This window comes from Homo sapiens, chromosome 19 (genome assembly GCF_000001405.40).
Source record: "Homo sapiens chromosome 19, GRCh38.p14 Primary Assembly".
Lineage (NCBI taxonomy): Eukaryota > Metazoa > Chordata > Mammalia > Primates > Hominidae > Homo > Homo sapiens.
In genome coordinates this window covers 19206932-19227220 of record NC_000019.10, presented here as the reverse complement: position 1 = coordinate 19227220, position 20289 = coordinate 19206932, and the positions used below count along the sequence as shown (strand labels likewise).

At 53.7% G+C, this 20289-nt stretch overlaps 1 protein-coding gene across 1 annotated transcript in view, besides 5 other annotated features; it reads right to left on the bottom strand.

Moving 5' to 3' along the window:
• Positions 1 to 15263, bottom strand: part of NCAN (neurocan) — a 40276-nt gene extending 25013 nt beyond the window's left edge. Inside the window, exons 1-7 of the mRNA NM_004386.3 lie at positions 15157 to 15263; positions 10195 to 10274; positions 7905 to 8306; positions 3026 to 3200; positions 2788 to 2915; positions 1951 to 2244; positions 148 to 735 (exon numbers count right to left, since the gene is read on the bottom strand). Of these exons, the coding sequence (NP_004377.2) occupies positions 148 to 735; positions 1951 to 2244; positions 2788 to 2915; positions 3026 to 3200; positions 7905 to 8306; positions 10195 to 10267 (1660 nt within the window). The 5' untranslated portion in view covers positions 10268 to 10274; positions 15157 to 15263. The remainder of the gene's footprint in view (positions 1 to 147; positions 736 to 1950; positions 2245 to 2787; positions 2916 to 3025; positions 3201 to 7904; positions 8307 to 10194; positions 10275 to 15156) is intronic.
• Positions 1560 to 1819: an enhancer, noted in NCBI's record as "active region_14343". NCBI's record gives its function as "activates an Ori minimal core promoter by ATAC-STARR-seq in GM12878 lymphoblastoid cells {active_cell/tissue: GM12878}" and the evidence as "EXISTENCE:reporter gene assay evidence [ECO:0000049][PMID:35858748]".
• Positions 2110 to 2259: a silencer, noted in NCBI's record as "silent region_10436". NCBI's record gives its function as "represses an Ori minimal core promoter by ATAC-STARR-seq in GM12878 lymphoblastoid cells {active_cell/tissue: GM12878}" and the evidence as "EXISTENCE:reporter gene assay evidence [ECO:0000049][PMID:35858748]".
• Positions 12613 to 13113: an enhancer, noted in NCBI's record as "OCT4-H3K4me1 hESC enhancer chr19:19324917-19325417 (GRCh37/hg19 assembly coordinates)". NCBI's record gives its function as "activates a minimal SCP1, AML or CMV promoter by ChIP-STARR-seq in naive H9 embryonic stem cells {active_cell/tissue: H9 hESC(naive)}" and the evidence as "EXISTENCE:reporter gene assay evidence [ECO:0000049][PMID:30033119]".
• Positions 13114 to 13614: an enhancer, noted in NCBI's record as "OCT4-H3K4me1 hESC enhancer chr19:19324416-19324916 (GRCh37/hg19 assembly coordinates)". NCBI's record gives its function as "activates a minimal SCP1, AML or CMV promoter by ChIP-STARR-seq in naive H9 embryonic stem cells {active_cell/tissue: H9 hESC(naive)}" and the evidence as "EXISTENCE:reporter gene assay evidence [ECO:0000049][PMID:30033119]".
• Positions 15167 to 15461: an enhancer, noted in NCBI's record as "tiled region #3423; HepG2 Activating DNase matched - State 10:DNaseD, and K562 Activating non-DNase unmatched - State 20:ReprD". NCBI's record gives its function as "activates a minimal TATA promoter and a strong SV40 promoter by Sharpr-MPRA in HepG2 and K562 cells {active_cell/tissue: HepG2 | K562}" and the evidence as "EXISTENCE:reporter gene assay evidence [ECO:0000049][PMID:27701403]".

Below are 20289 nucleotides of genomic sequence, written 5' to 3'. Positions count from 1 at the left end.
CAGGCCCAAGGGAGAGGGGGCTTCTGGGGCCAGAGGACCCAGCTGGGATTTGGAGCTTCCTCCCTCATTCTGAGTGTAGCCATGGCTACCTCTCTACCCTCACCTCCAGATCCCCAGGTAGGTCCCGCCTCCCCCAGAGCAACTCACCAGCTCCAGGCATATCCACCTCATTGGTCAGATCAGCCCAGGGGCTCCGGCTCTGGCCACTGCCCAACATCTCTGTGACTGCCATGGCCAACGGAGGCTCCATTTGGTTCACTGCAGCCTCTGAGGTGGGGGGCTGGGCGCTGGCCTCCATCCCCCCTTGCAGCCCCGGCTCCGGTTCCTGCTGCTGGAAGTAGCGCCCATTCAACCCTTTGAAGCGCCCCCTTCTCCTAGGCATAGGGTCAGTTGGGGCCACCTCCGTGTGTGAACTTGCTGCAGTGCCTGCCCCCATGTCGCTAGGGCTGGGGGCCACCGTGCTTAGCCACACTTCCCCAGTGGGCCATGAGGCCAGCATGGGGTCCCCAGGGGTAGGGCTGAGGGTCTGTTGAGACTCCTGCTTCTCCTCCAAAATCAGGGTTTCTTCTTCCCCACTGGACACCAGAGGCTCCTGGAAGTCAGGGGTGACCACCTCTTCCTCCTCCAGGGTGGGCTCCAGTTCTCTAACTGGGGGCCCCTCTGCTGACAGAATCTCCCCCTCATCCCCAGAGGATGGGGTCTCTAGGTCTCCATGTTGTGACGTGGGGTGATGAGCTGTGGGAGAAAGCAGAAGAGGTTGTGTTAGGCCCAGGGGTTGCCTGGGAAGTTCTGCTTGAAGTCTACCCACTTTCCAGCATGCTGCAGCATAAGCCTTCTGTGTACCTCTGTCTCTCCTAAGTAGTTTCTGAGATTCCCCCAGCCTGGGAGAGGGAAGTGCAAAATTTTCACCTCCACTGTTCAGGCTGGAGACCACCTGAGCCACTGTCAGGGTCAGAGTCAACTGGCTGCAGTGAGGACTCAAGAGAATTTGGGCCAGGCGCGGTGGCTCACGTCCGTAATCCCAGCACTTTGGGAGGCCAAGGTGGGTGGATCACTTGAGGTCAGGAGTTCAAGACCAGCCTGGCCAACATGGTGAAACCCCGTCTCTACTAAAAATACAAAAATTAGCTGGGCATGGTGGCACATTCCTGTAGTCCCAGCTACTCCGAAGGCTGAGGCAGGAGAATTGCTTGAACAAGGGAGGTGGAGGTTGCAGTGAGCCGAGATCACACCACTGCACTCCAGCCTGGGTGACAGAGTGAGACTCTGTCTCAAAAGAAAAAAGAAAAAAAGACAATTTGGCTCATGGGCAAAGCTCAGGTAGTGTCCAACTCTCATGAACTTGGGTCTGCCTGTTGAGGGGTTCAACTCAACCTTGGTGACGGATCCTCCCCTGGTACAGGTGGTGCCCCGTGGGCATGGTATGCCCATGCCAGGACTGGGGCAGCTTACTTAGAGGACATGGCTCCTTGGGGTTGATGCTTGCAGCTTCCAAAGCTGTCCCCACTGCCCCCCAACAAGGGCGAGTGTCATCCCTGCTCCCACATCCGGTGTGGTGCCCAGAGGTGGCCAATTGAGGCATTATCTCTTCCACGGGGGTGTTTCTGCGTATGGGCGTGGCTCTAGGTAGAGTATGCCCCACCTAGGGGCTTGTCTTTCAAGGTTATGGGGCCTCCGGACCTCAGGAGATACAGCCCACCCAGCAAAGGTGACTCCCCACCAGAGTGGCCTCCTCTGGAGCCCTGTTCTTTACCCAGGACGGGGCTCCTAGGGAAAGACTTGTCGTAACGGGTGTGGCCTTCACCCGGGGGCGTGGCCCTCACCCAGGGATGTGGCTTATCACAAAGCGAGCTTCCATGTGTCTCTCCCTTGGCTTGGCGAGGCTTTCAGGGACGTGGCCTTCGCCAAAGTGAAAGCCCTGGGGGCGCGGCCACCAGGGGACGCACGCACCTCGGAAGCAGTAGGCGTCGAAGCGCTCGGCGGGTGAGGGGAAGCCGGTCCGGTTAGCGAAGCGGTAGACGGTGCGCACGCCCGGGGCTGGGCCCCCGCAGCGCCGGCGCGGCGTCTGGATCGGGTAGCGCACGCTGCCGTCGGCCAGCCAGCCCGGGTCGCACTGGTCCAGGCCCTCATGCCAGGCCAGGTGCAGCTGTCCCACCGAGGCCAGCGCGGCACCCTGGCGGCGGCACTGTGCACGCGCGCCGGCCAGTGTCAGGCGGCGGGCCGGGCCCACGTAGAAGACCTCGCCTGCGGGAGGGGCGGGTGGAGGTCAGGGGGGCTGGGGAACCCTCCCCTGGAGCCCAGGAAGTGGGTCCAACTCCAAATAGTTCCGACCTGGACGTGTTAGGGTGGTGGTTAGAAGAGGCGGTGACAACCGCAGCTGTGCGTCCAGCTCCGGGATCATCCTTGTCCTTACCTCTCATGCAGAGCTAAGCCTCTTTTTACAAATGGAGTAACTCAGGCCCATGGGCAAGTCGGGCTTCAGAGAGAGGGAGGGGCTCGGTGAAGGGGGCTCACAGAGGAGGAAGGGGATAGGGACAGGGAGGCAGGCAGGGGACAGGGGATTAGAGAGGGAAAGAGGATCAGAGAGAGGAAGGGGGCAAAGGGAGGGAGGGGGACTCAGGGAGGCATGGAAAGCTCAGAAAATGAGTGGAATCATGTCTTGGTTGCAGGTTTAGGGAGGTATAAGACAGGGGAGTTGCATAAGGACCCCGGAGGATGGGAGTTGGGGAGAATAATAGATACTCAAAGAGAGGCGGAGGGGCCGGGTCCTGCCAGTCCCAGACTTACCCCCCAGCTCCCGGGCAAAGCAATACACATCGTAGAGTTCCTGTGGGTTGCGCCTCCCATAGCTCCGAACCCCTGGAAGGCTGCTACGGTCGCCATAGCAACCAGGACGGGACTGGGTGATAGGATACCTGACAACACAAGGGGAGGGTCCCTCTCAGATGTGTGCTCCTGGAGCCCCCAAGGAACCTCCTTCCCCATGAGCTAGTCTTCATCTCCCTGCCCTGTGTATCCCCCTCACCGAACAGTGCGGTCAGAGAGCCAGCCAGCATCACAGTTGTCAAAGCCATCCTCAAAGGCAGCCTGTAGATGCCGAGGGGCTGCAATGATGGCTGAGCTGAGACGGCAGGCCTCCTGGGCCTCAGCGAAGGTCAGTGCATAGCGGTCCCGGGCTGATCGGTAGTGGAACACAACACCTGTGGGGGAACATCCAGGATGGGGGGACAGTTGACTTATGCTGGAATCTTCAAGAACAGACCTACCTCTTGCAGAATGACTCCCCACCCCTGTCTGATAATAATAGACCTAGCGCCAGGCACAGTGTGGGTCGAGGGTGGGGAGCAAGATCCATATGCCCCCATTTTACAGATGAGGAAACTGATAACAATGGCCATAAAGGGTTACAAGTTAGCAAATATTTACAATGTGAAAAGCGTTTACGGCCGTTCAGGCATGTTGGCTCACTTCTGTAATCCTAGCACTTTGGGAGGCCAAGGTGGGCAGATCACTTTAGGTCAGGAGTTCGAGACCAGCCTGGCTAACATGGTGAAACCCTGTCTCTACTAAAAATACAAAAAATAGCTGGGCATGGTGGCATGCGTCTGTAATCCCAGCTACTAGGGCGGCTGAGGCAGGAGAATCGCTTGAACCCAGGAGGCAGAGGTTGCGGTGAGCCGGGATTGAGCCACTGCACTCCAGCCTGGGAGACAGAACAAGACTCCATCTCAAAAAAACTAAAACATTAAAAAAAAGAAAAGCATTTATAAGCATTATCTTATTGAACTCTTACAACAAATCTGATTGTTCTAGAGGAGGAAACTTAGGGTCAGAAAGGTTGAGGGACAGGTCCAGGCCCACGCAGCAAATAAGAAACAGAACCAGAATTCAAATTCAGAGAGATCTGACTCCAAAGATAGCACTCTTCATGCCCAGGGTTAGGCCCTGGAGGTGGCAGGAGGTGTGGAGAAGGCTGACAGAGAGTTTCTGCCTTTTAGGAATTAAGTGCATGCGCTAATAGGGAAGCACAGGCAGCAATGGGAGACCAAATGTGGTTCTTTTTTATTTATTTATTTATTTTTTATTTTATTTATTTTATTTTATTTATTTTTTGAGACAGAATCTCACTCTGTCGCCAGGCTGCAGTGCAGTGGCGCGATCTCAGCTCACTGCAAGCTCCGCCTCCCGGGTTCACACCATTCTCCTGCCTCAGCCTCCCAAGTAGCTGGGACTACAGGCGCCTGCCATCACGCCCAGCTAATTTTTTTCTATTTTTAGTAGAGATGGGGTTTCACCATGTTAGCCAGGATGGTCTTGATCTCCTGACCTCGTGATCCGCCCACCTCAGCCTCCCAAAGTGCTGGGATTACAGGCATGAGCCACCGCGCCCGGCCCAAATGTGGTTCTTGCCTGGCCTGGAAATGTGGTCCTGGAAGGCTTCCTGGAGGAGGTGACATGTAAGCCAGGATGTGAAGCCCTGGTAACAGGCTCACTGTGATTCAAATTCTGATTTAGGGATGAAAGAAATGGCTGAACAAGACAATGAAATGAAACACTTTGCTCTGGCTTATCCAACTGAGAGCTCTGTGTCCTCAGCATTGGACCAGTACAGTGTAGGTGCTCAATAAATGTTTGGCTGAATGTCCGGGCATAGCAGCTCATGCCTGTAATCCCAGCACTTTGGAAGACCGAGGCAGGCAGATCACTTGAGGCTAGGAGTTGGAAACCAGCCTGGCCAATGTGGTGAAACCCTGTCTCTACTAAAAATACAAAAATTAGCCAGGTGTGGTTGTGTGCACCTGTAATCCCAGCTACTCCAGAGGCTGAAGCAGGAGAATCGCTTGAACCCACGAGGCAGAGGTGCAGTGAGCCAAGATCACACCACTGAACTCCAGCCTGGGTGACAGAGTGAGACTCTGTCTCAAACAACAACAAAAAGAGTTTGGCTGAATGAATGAAATTGAAGTTACCTAGATGTGGAATTCACTTGCCTCACCACCAATCAGTTTGTTGTTGTTGTTGTTGTTAGCTTTTATCAATTTTCAGAAATGAGGCCTCTGAAAGGGGATGACTGGTTGACTCCATAAACTATGTGGTAAGACACTGTGTCCCCAGTTCCCAGTTTGGGGGCATGCAGGTTAAGCCCCAAGACAGGAATCAGGGACTTGCCCAAGGTCAATTTAAGTTAAGGGAAACAGGTTTCCCAGCAGGAGTCCACGGGATGTTTGCTGTACAATAATCCATTCACTGAGTCATTTATTGAGCATCTACTGTGTGCCAAACCCTGTTCTTTATTTTTAGTTTTTGACTATTTATTTATTTATTTATTTGAGTCAGGGTCTCCCTCTGTCACCCAGGCTGAAGTGCAGTGGTGCGATCTCAGCTCACTGCAGCTTCCAACCTTCCAGACTTAAGCGATCCTCCCACCTCAGCCTCCTGACAAGCTGAGACTACAGGCGCACACTAGCATGCCCTGCTAATATTTTTTTAAAAATTTTGTAGAGACGAGGTCTCACCATCTTGCTCAGACTGGTCTTGAACTCCTGGGCTCAAGCAATCCTCCTGCCTTAGTCTTTCAAAATGCTGAGATTAGAGGTGTGAGCCGCCACATCTGGCTTATTTAGTTGTATTATTATTATTATTATTATTTTTAAGATGGAGTTTCCCTCTTGTTGCCCAGGCTGGAGTGCAATAGCACAATCTCGGCTCACCTCAACCTCCACCTCCTGGGTTCAAGCGATTCTCCTGCCTCAGCCTCCCGAGTAGCTGGGGTTACAGGAATGTGCCACCATGCCTGGCTAATTTTTGTATTTTTAGTAGAGAAGGGGTTTCACCATCTTGGCCAGGCTGGTCTCGAACTCCTGACCTCATGATCTGCTGGTCTCGAACTCCTGACCTCATGATCCACCCGTCTCGACCTCCCAAAATGCTGGGATTACAGGCGTGAGCCACTGCGCCCAGCCATATTATTATTATTTTTGAGACAGGGTCTTGCTGTGTTGCCCAGGCTGGAGTGCAGTGGCATGATCAAGGCTCGCTGCAGCCTCGATCTCTTGGGACTCAAGCAATCCTCCCACCTCAGCCTCCTGAGTAGCTAAGACTACAGGAACACACCATCATACCTGGCTAATGTTTTGGAATTTGGAATTTTGTATAGACAAGGTCTCACTATGTTGCCCAGGCTGGTCTCAAACTCCTGAGCTTAAGTGATTCTCCTGCCTTGGTCTCCCAAAGTGCTGGGATTACAGACATGAGCCACTGGGCCCCCATCCCCGTTTTTTGTTTTTTGTTTGTTTGTTTGTTTTTGTTTTTCTAATAGAGACAGGGTCTTGCTATGTTTCCCAGGCTGGTCTTGAATTCCTGGCTGAAGTGACCCTTCCTCTTCAGCCTCCCAAAGTGCTGAAACTACAGGTGTGCACTACCACACGCAGCTCAACAAGAAGAATTTAATAAAGGAATTGGTTGCCAGGTGCGGTGGCTCATGCCTGGTAATCCTAGCACTTTGGGAGGCCGAGGTGGGCAGATCACGAGGTCAGGAGATCAAGACCATCCTGGCTAACACGGTGAAACCCCGTCTCTACTAAAAATACAAAAAATTAGCCAGGCGCTGTGGCGGGCGCCTGTAGTCCCAGCTACTCAGGAGGCTGAGGCAGGAGAATGGTGTGAACCCGGGAGGCAGAGCTGGCGATGAGTTGAGATCATGCCACTGCACTCCAGCCTGGGAGACAGAGCGAGACTCCCATCTCAAAAAAAAAAAAAAAAAAAAAAAAGAATTGCCTAAACAGGTATTTGAGAATTGTTCTTGCTTAATATTTAATATACATCTTAAATTAACTTACTTTTAAAAAATTGCCTCACTTAGAAAAAAACTTAAGTTTATTTTACAAGGAATTTTTTATTTCTATTTTAAATAGAAAGCCAGTATCCTTTGTCTTACATAAAATCAGATAACCATAAAATTGACTCCAAGTAAAATCCTGCCTAGACGGAGGATGCAGTGAGCTTAGATAGCACCACTGCACTCCAGCCTGGGCAACAAGAGTGAGACTCCATCTCAAAACAAACAAACAAAAATCCTGCCTAGATATTGTGGCCCCCAGAAGTCTGAGCTGGAGACTCCTCTCTCATAGCTAAAAAAGAGAGGTGTTAAAGACAAGATAGTACCCATACTGATACAGACGTTTTTTTTCTTTTGAGACAGAGTCTCGCGGTGTGGCCCAGGCTGGAGTGCAGTGGCTCAATCTCAGCTCACTGCAACCTCCACCTTCTGGGTTCAAGCAGTTCTCCTGCCTCAGCCTCCCAAGTAGCTGGGATCACAGGCATGCATCACCATGCCTGGCTAATTTTTTTTTTTTTTTTTTAAAGACGGGGTTTCACCATGTTGGCCACACTGGTCTCAAACTCCTGACCTCAACTGATCCACACGCCTCGGCCTCCCAAAGTGCTCAGATTATAGGCACCATAAAGACTTTAGGACTTTATCAGAAGAATTCAAAGGGAATCCCGGTTCAGAGAGTGATTTCTTTCCTTTTTTTTTTTTTTTTTTTTGTGACAGGGTCTCCCTCTGTCATCCAGGCTGGAGTGGAGTAGCCTCAACCTCCCAGTCTCAAGTGATCCTCCCACCTATGCCTCCCAAGTAGCTGGACTACAGGCATGTGCCACCATGCCTGGCTAATTTTTGTATTTTCTGTGGAGACGAGGTTTCACCATGTTACCCAGGCTGGTCTCGAACTCCTGTGCTCAAGCAATCCACCCGCCTTGGCCTGCCAAAGTGCTGGGATTACAGGCATGAGACACCAGGCCAGGTCTCAGGGAGTGATTTCTAAGGTGACATTCAGTGGGTGGGCTCCAGGCTCAGCCCTCCCTCTCCCCGGCCCCCGGCCCCTCCTTTGCCCCCAACTGACCTGTCACCTCCAAGGGCACCAGGTCCTGCTCATCCTCGATGCCCCTCACCACCTGGCAGCGGTACAGCCCAGAGTCACTGGCCCTCAGTGGCCCCAGAAGTAGCGTGGCGTTGGCTCGGCGCCGGGGGTAGGAAGGCAGTGACACTCGTCCCTGCCAGCTTTTGGCCACCCTCACGACATTGTCCTTGGCCACCAGGATGGGCAAGTCCTGTCGCTGGCCCGACGCAGTCCGCACCTTGGTCCACTTTATCCGAGGGGCATCTCGGGCTGCGCTTGGCCGTGGCTGCAGGGTAAAGAGACAGGGCAGGGCCACCAGCTCCGCCAGCGCAGCCTGCACTGACCCAGACCCCAGCTTCTGCATGTGGAGCCCCCTTTCGCTGGCATCGGTGATATCCTGTGTGCCTGGGTTGGAGAAGGTGGAGAGAGGGCCTGATTCAGAGGCAAGAACCAAGCAGGGACTGCTATTTCCCTCTTTTAAAAAATTTTTTAAAAGGGCTGAGCCAGAATTTGAACCTAGGGCCACTTGACCTCAGAATCCAAGCAGTGGCTGGACGCGATAGCTCATGCCTGTAACCCCAGCACTTTGAGAGACCAAGGCGGGCAAATCACCTGAGGTCAGGAATTTGAAACCAGCCTGACCAACATGGAGAAACCCTGTCTTTACTAAAAATACAAAATTAGCTGGGTGTGGTGGCACATGCCTGTAATCCCAGCTACTCAGGAGGCTGAGGCAGGAGAATCGCTTGAACCCGGGAGGCAGAGGTTGCGGTGAGCCAAGGTCGCACCATTGCACTCCAGCCTGGGCAACAAGAGCGAAACTCCATCTCAAAAAAAAAAACAAAAAACTATTTTTAGAGATTGAGTCTCACTCTATCGCCCAGGGTAGAATGCAGTGACATGATCATGATTCACTGCAGCCTCAAGCTCCTAGACTCAAGCAATCCTCCCACCTCAGCCTCCCGAAAGTGCTGGGATTATAGGTATGAGCCACTGTGCCCAGCCCCTTATTATTATTATTCTTTTATTTATTTATACTTTTGAGATGGAGTCTCGCTCCATCTCCCAGGCTGGAGTGCAGTGGCATGATCTCAGCTCACTGCAACCTCTGCCTCCTAAGTTCAAGCAATTCTCCTGCCTCAGCCTCCCCAGTAGCTGGGATTACAGGTGTGTGCCACCACGCCTGGCTAATTTTTGCATTTTTAGTAGAGATGGGTTTCACCATGTTGGCCAGGCTGGTCTCCAATTCCTGACCTCAACTGATCCACCTACCTTGGCCTCCCACAGTTCTGGGATTATAGGGGTGAGCCACTACACCCAGCCTTATTATTATTTTTTTGAGTCTGACTCTGTCACCCAGGCTGGAGTGGAGTGGCATGATCTCGGCTCACTGCAACCTTCGCCTCCCAGGTTCAAGCGATTCTCATGCCTCAGCCTCCCGAGAAGATGGGATTACAGGCATGTGCCACCACACCTGGCTAATTTTTGTATTTTCTGTAGAGACGGAGTTTCACCATGTTAGGCAGGCTAGCCTGGAACCCCTGACCTCAAGTGATCTGCCTGCCTCAGCCTCCCAAAGTGCTAGAATTATAGGCATAAACCACTGTGCCTAGCCCCTCACTTTATTTTTATAAGGACAGGGATTTCACTCCAGTGCCACTGATTCACTGTATGGCCCTGGGAGAGGCATTTTCCTTCCCTGAGCCCCAGTTTTTCCGAAAGGTAAAGCAAAAGACAGCTAATGAAAAGGAAATGGTGTTTGCAGAGTACCATCTTTGTAACAGGCACTTTATAGCAATCAGCTCATTTGATTTTCATAACCATCTGCAGAGTAGCAATGTCTCATTCTCTTTGGGGGGAGTTGAGGAAACTGAAGTTCAGAGAGATAATTATACTTGCCTAAGGTCACAGACCAAATCTGTGAGGGATTTCTAAAACCTGGGCTCTTGACCACCAGTAGAGGGACACAGACCTTTATTTCCATCGCTCCACCCTTGGCAGACATCACTAATCAATCTCTGCACTATTCTCATTTCTTTCTTTCTTTCTCTCCAGTTCATCTGAGCAAAACGATGAGAGGCGGGAATCTCCAGCTTCTGCTGACAATGACTAAAAATAACCTCTTAGGTATCCTGTTCGCTTTTGACTGTTCAAAGACCTTTTAAAATCTATTCTCATTTTATTCTCTAGCCCATGCCAGGAGACCAGCAGGAGAAGGCTCTGGAATTCAAAAGCTGCCCCATCTTGTCCATCCCCTAGACCCCAATCTCTCCCTCCCCACAAACCAACTCACCCTGTTCCCCAGCCACAAAGAGCAGCATCTGCAGCATCAAAAGGCCCAAGGCCCAGACAAACGGGGCCCCCATCCTGGATCTGGAACAAAATGGAGAGGGAGGGAGGGGTGAGCCACAGCCCAACCCTCCCAGATATTCAGCATTGCAGGACCAAACTCCCCCACTCTACAGATCAGGAAACCAGGGCTCAGAGAGACCAGTGTGTTATTCTAGGTCACAGAAGGAGCCAGCAAAGGGCTGAGCCAGAATTCGAACCCAGGGCCACTTGACCTCAGAATAGCAGTGGCTGGACGCGGTGGCTCACGCCTATAGTTCCAGCACTTTGGGAGGCTGAGGTGGGAGGACTGCTTGAGGCCAGAAGCTTGAGACCAGCCTGGGCAACATAGTGAGATCTTACCTCTATTTAAAAAATTAGCAGCCAGGCGTGGTGGCTCACGCCTGTAATCCTAGCACTTTGGGAGGCCGAGGAGGGTGGATCACGAGGTCAGGGGTTCGAGACCAGCCTTACCAACATGGTGAAACCCCGTCTCTACTAAAAATACAAAAATTAGCTGGGCGTGGTGGCAGGCGCCTGTAATCCCAGCTACTCAGGAGGCTGAGGCAGGAGAATTACTTGAACCCGGGAGGTGGAGGTTGCAGTGAGCCGAGATCACGCCACTGCACTCCAGCCTGGGCGACAGGGTGAGACTCTGTCTCAAAAAAAAAAAAAATTATCTGGGCTTGGTGGCGCACACCTGTGGTCCCAGCTATGCAGGAGGCTGAGGTGGGAGGATTGCTTGAGCCCAGGAGTTCAAGGCTGCAGTGAGCTATGATTCCACCACCACACTCCAGCCTGGGTGACAGCGCGAGACTGAAAACAAAACAAAACACAACACAACAACAAAAAACAATCCAAGCAATGAAGTCTGTGGTCAGAAGCCTGGGTGCTGGTAGTGAATCAAATCTGGAATTGGCTCACTGTTCCTTTTGTGTGATCTTGGGCAAGTTGCTTACCTTCTCTGTGCCTTACTTTCTTTGTGGGTCAGATGGGGATAACATCAGGTAGTTGAAAGGAATGGATGAGTCAATACATATAAAATGCTTAGAACTGTCTCATGCAGTAAGGGGTACATTTTAGCTGCTGCTATTATTATTACCGACCTTAACACAGCCAAGACTGAAATACCATTTTTCAAGTCAGCCTCCTCCATCAGACTGGCGGCTCCTAGAGGGCAGCAGTCTGTCCCAGTCCTCCCAGCATCCTCAGTCCAGGCAGCAGGCTGGCCTCTAAGCCATCCTTTAATCTGGGTTTGCTGGCTGACACGATTCGCAGCTTCAATTCCAGGATTTGGTTGTCACCAAGATTCTATTCTTGGTTTCTGGGATTTTGGAGGAGCCGCCAACTCCCAGCTGGAGGAAGGGGCTCACCCCTGCCCACCCATCCTCCTCCTGACTTCACACAGCTCAACAAAGATACTTCTTAGGCCCACAGAGAAACTTCAGTTGTGGGTCCATTTCCCTATAGGGGCTAGGACCCATAGGGATAAAGTGGACAATTATTAAGCGCCTACTGTGAGCAAAGCCCATGCCAGTCGTTGGGACACAGCAGTGCATTTCCTGACTTCACATTGTTCCAGAGACTAGGAATCCTGGGGAGGTGGTCCCTCCCCAAAACCTCCCACTCCTGCGAACCCCGGTCACCAGGGCTCAGGAGGTGGGCGCAGATGGAAAATTAGAACATCATCTGCAAACCCAATCCTTGCTCCCCGCCCCCATAAGAAATTATCCCTGAGGAAGGGGTGTGAACGGAGTCCAGAAGGGGAGGCTGTATGTGACAGCTGTCCCTTTCCCCAGTTCTCCTTCCCAGCTCCCAGAGTCCCCTGCTGGGAGGCCGGCCTGGGACCTGTCCGTGGTGCTGAACTCTGAGGCGGCAACGCAGCGGCAAAGCCCACCTAGTCCACCCCTGCCTCCTGCCTGCTAACACGATGCCTCAGGGACCAGAGAGGGCTAGAGGTTTGCCTCAGGCTGCACAGCAGGGTAGAGGTCAAAGCCAGACCCTGGACCAGTGCTCCCAACTACCAACTTGTAAACCTCAGCAACCTCTGCCTTCACCAGGCTGTTCTCATTTCTTCCCCTTGGAACCCTGAGCAAGTGTGGGGTCCCCTCATGGCTGTTCCAGGCCTGGCCAGGTATTAGAGAGAGACAGGACTCCGGGTTGCACCTGCCCCCAGCAGGGCCTTACGAGAGGACAAGGCCAGAGAATTCTCTTTCTCTCTCTCTCTCACACACACACACACACACACACACACACACACACACCCCGTTAACAGGTCAGACTACATCCAGATAGCTCTGCTTCTAATCCGGGACAAGCTGCTTCAATCTCTCTGTGCCTCAGTTTCCCCACCTGTAAAATGGAGATTATCCAGCAAGTACCACCTGCAGCTACTGTGAGGATGAAATGACCTAAGACTTGCAAAGTCCTAGAAATGTTAAATTTAAAAACAGCTCTTTAGACACAAAGCCTCATGTATACGCTAAAAATATACTGAGGTTGCCCAACATGGTGACAGACACAGTTTCAGGTGCACACCCCCCACACACACCCTCCCACTCCCTTCCACTCGCACCCTCACACACCCACACCCTTCTCTTAAAATACCTCCTCCCCAGGGCGGCCAGAGATGAGCATTTACACAGCTGTCTGGGGCCCGTGCCCTCATGAATAATGTACAAGCCTCATGCATATGCAAGCAGGGGCCTGCGGGGTGCTGGAGGAGGGGCAGCTCGGATCCATGTGAATGTGTGTGTGTGAGAGAGTGTGTGTGAGTGTGTGTGTGTAAGTGTGTGTGTGTCCCCTCCTTCACTTCACCCCCACCTCAAGTCTCCGTTAGCACTGAGTGAAGGTGAGTTTGCCAATGGGCATTTGTGAGTGTTTGTGACTGGGTGTGTGTCCGGGGTGTTGTGTCCTGGCAAGGGTGTGAAGGCGGTTGTGCCATGTGGTGGGTGCATGTTGTGTGTGTGAGCCTGCAGCAGCTCCGTGCACCGGGTGGAGCACATGGGACCTAGTGTGATCTGTGGATGTGTGTGAGTCTGAGTGACCCTCAGCAGGGGGCTGTGCGCACATGTGTGTGTTTCTGACCTGAGAGTCAGGGTGTATTAGTGTGCATGGGTGTGAATGTGGAACTCCGTGGAGGAGAAAGGGAGATGGGCTCAGTCATCATCCCGGGCTTCCCCTTGGGGATTTCAACCCCTGCTCAAGCTTTCCCTGTTAGCGCCCCAACTCTGAACACAGACCACGTCCCACACCCCCGTGCCAAGGGTGCACACTGCCAACCGCATGGAAAGAACCCTTGGCCCCTCCAGATACACAAGCGGGACACACACAGCCACGCACCCCAGACACAGACCCTGGGGAAACACACACTCACACAGATTCACAGTGACATTAACAAAGAGAGACAATATGGGCACTTACAAGACAGGCGGCGTGTCTTCTGCACAAAGACACACACCCACAGTCTCGGGCCCCCCCCCCCCCACATAAACCCCTTGATGAACGGAACAGCATCAGACATAGCTCCTCACTCACACGGCGATGCCAGCCCCTGGCACAAACCGAGATGGATAATTGTGGCCTTGGTGACCGATGGACACCCATCATTTTGCCACATGGTGATGTGGCCCTCGGCACAAGTTTTCTGACAAAGACACAACCACAGTCACATCAGACTCACAGGGGACCCTAGAACCCCTGGGCATACTCCCCCTCCCTGCCTGTCTGGGGTGGACACACACACAAAACCCCCATATCCTTGAGGGGGAACTTGATTTCAGAATGTCCATCAGCTATTGCGACGGCTGGGTTCTGGGGTCCCACAGTGCACCCACCCCTTCCTGCCTGCCCTGCCCCCACGTCCCCCGCTGGGGCCCAGAGCCAACCCTCTCCCTGGCCTGGCTGTTTCTCATTGATGCTGCCTGAGAGGAACAAAGCCCCACGCGTAGGGATGGGGGTCTCTCCTGCCCAGACAGGGCCCTTACTTCCCAGCCCCTTACTTCCCAGCCCCTGTGCCCCCAAACCAAGCCAGCGCTTCCACATGTGTCCATATGGACAGGTGGAACTAAAGGGGGTGGGGGTAGGGGTCTGTGTCATGCTGTAAGGACGTGGGAGGCTGTGAAGGTGCTGGGGGACAGCCCCCCCTCTGAGCTGGTATCCCTCACAGGTCCTGGGGATCCATAGCTGGGGGGTCTAGGGGACCCCCACCCAACATTCACCTGGGACACCCAGTGTGTTCCCTGGGATAAGGGACAACACCTCAACCCAAGGTCTAAGGGAATAACGGGGAACCACGTTGGGATGGGGACCCCCAGGACCTCCTCCCTGAGTCAGAACGTGGTGACCGGACCTGACCCAAAAGGACAGGGAGATGGCAGGGAGCCCCTTCCCCATGGCCGTTCGCTCTCAGCGCAGATACCCTTCCATTGGGCACAGGGTGATCTGGGGGCCCCCTCCCCACTGCAGTCCGGCCCGGAATCCTCCATTCAACCGCAAATTGGGAATCCCTACTTAAAATCCTGGGGTGTCTCGGCTGAGATACGGGGGTGCCCTGTTCCAGAGTCCCCCATTCGGCATCTGGGTGTCCTCTTCTTCCCTCCAAACTCGGGGGGCCCCTCCCCTAGCCCTGTTTCCCATTGCTCCCTCCTCAACCCTGAGACCCACCCCCAGCCCGGCCCCCTCCCCACCGGGGGGTAGTCTCCGGATTCCGCGGACAACCTTCCTCCCCAAATGTCTGTTCACCTAGCATTCCCAAGCCCCCTCCCAGTTCGCGCTCCCTCCTCAACCTAGGGCTCCCCTCCCCCGCTTCAGCCCCCTCCCCATTCTGGGGACTTCTCCCTGGTCTCAGGTCCTCTCCCTAATCCTGAGCTCTGTCTCTAATCCCGAAGTCTTCTCCCGCAACACGGCCCCCTCACGGATCCCCCACCTGGCTCCTAGCTCGGACGCATCCCGGGGCGGCCGCCGGGCACAAAGGACGCTGCGCTCCGACTCAGCCAGCTCCGCGCCGGGTCCAGCCCCTGCGCCCTGCGCTCCGCTGGCCCCAGCGCCGCCTCAGTGCTTATAAAGGGGCCGCGAGGGCTCTCTGCGCATGCGCCCCCGCCAGCCCGAGGCCTCTGGCTGCGCGAGGGAGGGGGCTCCCCTGCCTAAAATCCCCACCCCGCCCATTTTTTGGACACTCACCGCACCCAGGAGAAGATGGCATCGATTCTCCTCCCATTCTCTTTGCCCCAGGAACCGCGTTAAACGTCCCCATTATGCCCCAGGATGAGGCCGTCCCATTTTACAGGTGGGGAAACTGAGCCCCAAGGAGGCAAAGTCGCTTCCCAAGGTCACGCACAGAGGCAGAGCTGGGATTCGAACCTCGCCCTGCCTGATTCTCCAGGACTCACGTTCAAAGCAGTTTTGGCTACAATTACTGGTTTACCCCATTTACAGAGAGGAAACTGAGGCACGGACGAGACGGGGAGACTCCTTGTTCACACAGCTGGTAAGAGGCACGCAGGGTGGGAGTCCAGGTGTGTGACACCCCCGAGCTGTTTCCAGCAACTACAGCCAGATTGTATCATTCATTCATTCACCTTTGTCTGATCAGCATTTATGTAGCACACTCTATGGACTGGGTACTGCTGTTGACACATGAATAATTTTGCTTTATGCAGAGGCATAGGCATGTCCCTGCCATGAGACATGAGACCCCAATCTTTTTTTTTTTTTTTCAGACGGAGTCTTGCTCCGTCATCCAGGCTGGAGTACAGTGGCACGATGTTGGCTCACTGCAACCTCCACCTCCCAGGTTCAAGCGATTCTCCTGCCTCAGCCTCCTGAATAGCTGGGATTACAGGCACCTGCCACCACACCCAGTTAATTTTTGTATTTTTAGTAGAGATGTGGTTTCACCATGTCAGCTAGGCTGGTCTCGATCTCCTGGCCTCAAATGATCCGCCCGCCTCAGCATCCCAAAATGCTGGGATTACAGGCATGAGCCACCGCGCATGGCCTTGAATTACACATTTTAAGATGGTGAGTTTTATGTTATCTGTATTTGACCACCATTAAAAATATGGTAATGAGGGCTGGGTTCGGTGGCTCACACCTGTAATCCCAGCACTTTGGGAGGCCAAGGCGGGTGGATCACCTGAGGTCAGGAGTTTAAGACCAGCCTGGCCAACATGGTGAAACCCTTTCCCTATTAAAAATACAAAAATTAGCCAGGCGTGTTGGCAGACACCTGTAATCCCAGCTGCTCAGGAGGCTGAGGCAGGAGAATCGCTTGAACCCAGGAGGCAGAGGTTGCAGTGAGCTGAGACCATGCCATTGCACTCCAGCCTGAGTGACAGAGTGAGACTCCGTCTCAAAAAAAAAAAAAAAAAAAAAAAAGCCATGAGGAGGGAAATGTGCCCAGAGAGGGCAGGCTTTGCCCCTGCCTTCCTTCCTATGGTCGTGGTGTTTCTGTGCTGAGAATGGGCTCGCAGCGCTCCACCCTGGGTCCTATATCTGTGAGTGTGTGTTTAGCATCTCTGAGGGTGCGTGTCCATCTGGTAGGAGGATAGGCAAATGAGGGACAAGATAGCTTCCACAAGGTTATCAAAGAAAGGAGGCCTTGGCCAGGTGCCGTGGCTCACGCCCATAATCCCAGCGCTTTGGGAGGCCAAGAGGACAGATCATTTGAGGTCAGGAGTTCGAGACCAGCCTAGCCAACATGGTGAAACCCCATCTCTAATAAATCAAAATTAGGGTGTGGTGGCGGACGCCTGTAATCCCAGCTACTCGGGAGGCTGAGGCAGGAGAATCGCTTGAACCCTGGAGGCGCAAGTTGCAGTGAGCCGAAATTGGGCCACTGCATTCCAGCCTGGGCAACAGAGTGAGACTCCATCAAAAAAAGAAAAAAGAAGAAGAAAGGAGGCCAAGCACCGTGGCTCATGCCTGTAATCCCAACACTTTGGGAGGCTGAAGCAGGCAGATCACCTAAGGTCAGGAGTTTGAGACCAGCCCAGCCCAGCCAACATGGTGAAACCCTGTCTGTACTAAAAATACAAAAATTAGCCAGGCATGGTGGTGTTCACCTATAATCCCAGATACTCAGGAGGCTGAGGCAGGAGAATCACTTGAACCTGGGAGGCGGAGCGTGCAGTGAACCGAGACTGTGCCACTGCACTCCAGCCTGGGTGTCAGAGCAAGATTCCATCTCAAAAAAAAAAAAAAAGATTATCAAAGAAAGGGTAGGAATGAATGAGGGATAAGGGGGGACCCCAGGTGAGCAAGGGGTAGCCCTGGGGTCCAAGATGATACAGCGGGAAGCTGCACTGACTGTTTGACTCTGTGTCACAGAGGAGAGATGGAGGTCAAGGATCCCAGCTGATGTGAGTGTCTGCAGGTGACAGCTGTGTCAGCAGCACCCAAACAGCATGCAATGACTAGTCGGTGAGGCTGGAGCGTGCTGGGGGGTTGGCTGTGGCTCACACTGGGAAAGACGCTGAGAACAGCTGCGTGACGTGCGTGAGAACCGAGTAGCTCAGCCTCCACAAGTCTGGGGTTCAAACCCCCTCCCTGCCATTCGTAACAATGTGACTCTGAGTGAGCCATCTCATCTTTCTGTGTCTCAGTTTCCCCATCTGAAATGGGGATAGTCCAGGTGCCGGTGGCTCATGCCTGTAATCCCAGCACTTTGGGAGTCAGAGGCAGGAGGATCACTTGAGCCCAGGAGTTCAAGACCAGCCTGAGCAACACAGTGAGACCCCCATCTCTACAAAAAATAACTTAAAAGTTAGCAGGACATGGTGGCACACATCTGTGGTCCCGGCTACTCGGGAGGCTGAGGGGGAAGGATCGCTGGAGCCCAGGAGATTAAAGCTGCAGTGAGTCAAGATTGCATCACTGTACTCTGGTCTGGGTGACACAGTGAGACCCTATTTCAAAAATGAATAAAATAAAATGGGGGGAGGGTGGGCGCGGTGGCTCAAGGCTGTAATCTCAGCACTTTGGGAGGCCAAGGCAGATGGATCATGAGGTCAGAATTTGAGACCAGCCTGGCCAACATGGTGAAATCCCGTCTCTACTAAAATTCAAAATTAGCTGGGTGGGGTGGTGCACACCTGTAATCCCAGCTACTCAGGAGGCTGAGGTAGGACAATCGCTTGAACCCAGGAGGTGGAGGTTGCAGTGAGCCAAGATGGCACCACTGCATTCCAGCCTGGGTGACTGAGTGAGATTCCATCTTGGGAAAAAATTAAATAAATAAATAAATAAAATGGGGGATAATGAATGTCCCTACGTTACCGGTTGCTTGGAGAATGAAATGGGAAGTAAACACACAGGCAGGGACTGCTGTTTATTTTACAGGTGCTGGGGAAACTGAGGCTTAAGGAGCTAGGATCACCTGCCCGAGGATGTACAGAGTGAGTAGAGACCAGGTGGAAGCCAAGGTCTGTGGGCGCAGAGCTGAGCCCCAACCCCACCTATCCTCATCCTTCTGCTTCCCCCGCTTCTCCACTCCTCCCCACCCCTTGCCCCCACCCCCCGGCTCCTCGCTGGTGCCAGGGCTGAGCTTAGAGGGGCTGGCCTGGGGCCCAGGGGCGGGCTGTTGCCGGGGGCTTGAATGAGGCAACCTTGCCTGGGAATCTACTGGGCTCAAAGAGCTATTTATAGGCCTGAGCTGGGATTGGGCACCCCTCCCCAGCCCTGAGTGCCTTCTCTGTCCCCACCACCCCACTGGGGCCCTGGGCCAGGGGCTGCTGCCAGTGGGGGAGGGGTGGGGGATGGTACTGGCAGACCAGAGCAGAGGTGGGGAGGGAGGCTGGACCCTCCAAGAGAGCTGGGTCTCAGGGGTGGACAGTGCCTCCAAAGTGCCTCTGAACATGCCCAAGGTGACACATGGGTAAGTCACACACAATGCCACCAACAACCACTGACACACACAGTCACACCCCAGCCACACCCCAGCCACACTAACAGCACAGGTGGCTCACATGCAACCTCACCTGGCCACACACAGGTCTCACCCACCACACATGACCAAACCTGACCATACACAATGACACCCAGCCATACACAATCATACCTGGTCATGTACAACCACACCCAGCCATACACACCACACCCAGCCATACACAACCACACCCAGCCATGCACAACCACACCCAGCCATACACGCCACACCCAGCCATGCACAACTACACCCAGCCATGCACAACCACACCCAGCCAATGACAACCACATCCAGCCATACACAACCACACCCAGCCATATAAAACCACACTCAGCCATACACAACCACACCCAGCCATATACAACCACACTCAGCCATACACAACCACACCCAGTCATGCACAACCACACCGGGCCACACACAGGTTTCACCAACCATGCACAGGCAAACCTGGCCATATACAATCACACTCAGCCACACACAATCACACTTGGTCGTGCACAACCACACCCAGCCATACACAACCACACTCAGCCATGTACAACCACACCCAGCCATGCACAACCACACCCAGCCATACACAACCACACTCAGCCATGTACAACGACATCCAGCCATGCACAACTACACCCAGCCGTACACAACCACACCCAGCCATGCACAACCACACCCAGCCATGCACAGCCACAATGGGCCACACACAATCACATACACAATCAACCTGGTCAGGCCACACACAACCATACCTGGCCTGGGCCACACACAAGTCACACTTGCTCCACAACCGAAGGCAAAGCTATGAGCTGGGCTGCACCAGTGTCCCTCCACATGCAAACACACCCACTGCTGCTCACACCCACAACACCTTCGCCTTCCTGCCAGCAGCAAAGAGCCTACGTTGGCCCCACATTGCTCACACCCAACCAGGTTTCTAGTCACAGACACACCCACAGGTAGTGAGCACACAACCATGTTCACACCAACACCACCAATGCCACCAACCCCGAGATCTGTAGCCCTCCCAGCCACTGTTACAACAGCCACACACACGCAGCTCCTGGTGCTCCCATACACACCCACCTGAATCCTTTCACACCCAGACACCCCTCCCACTCCCACTGTCACCTCCAGTGG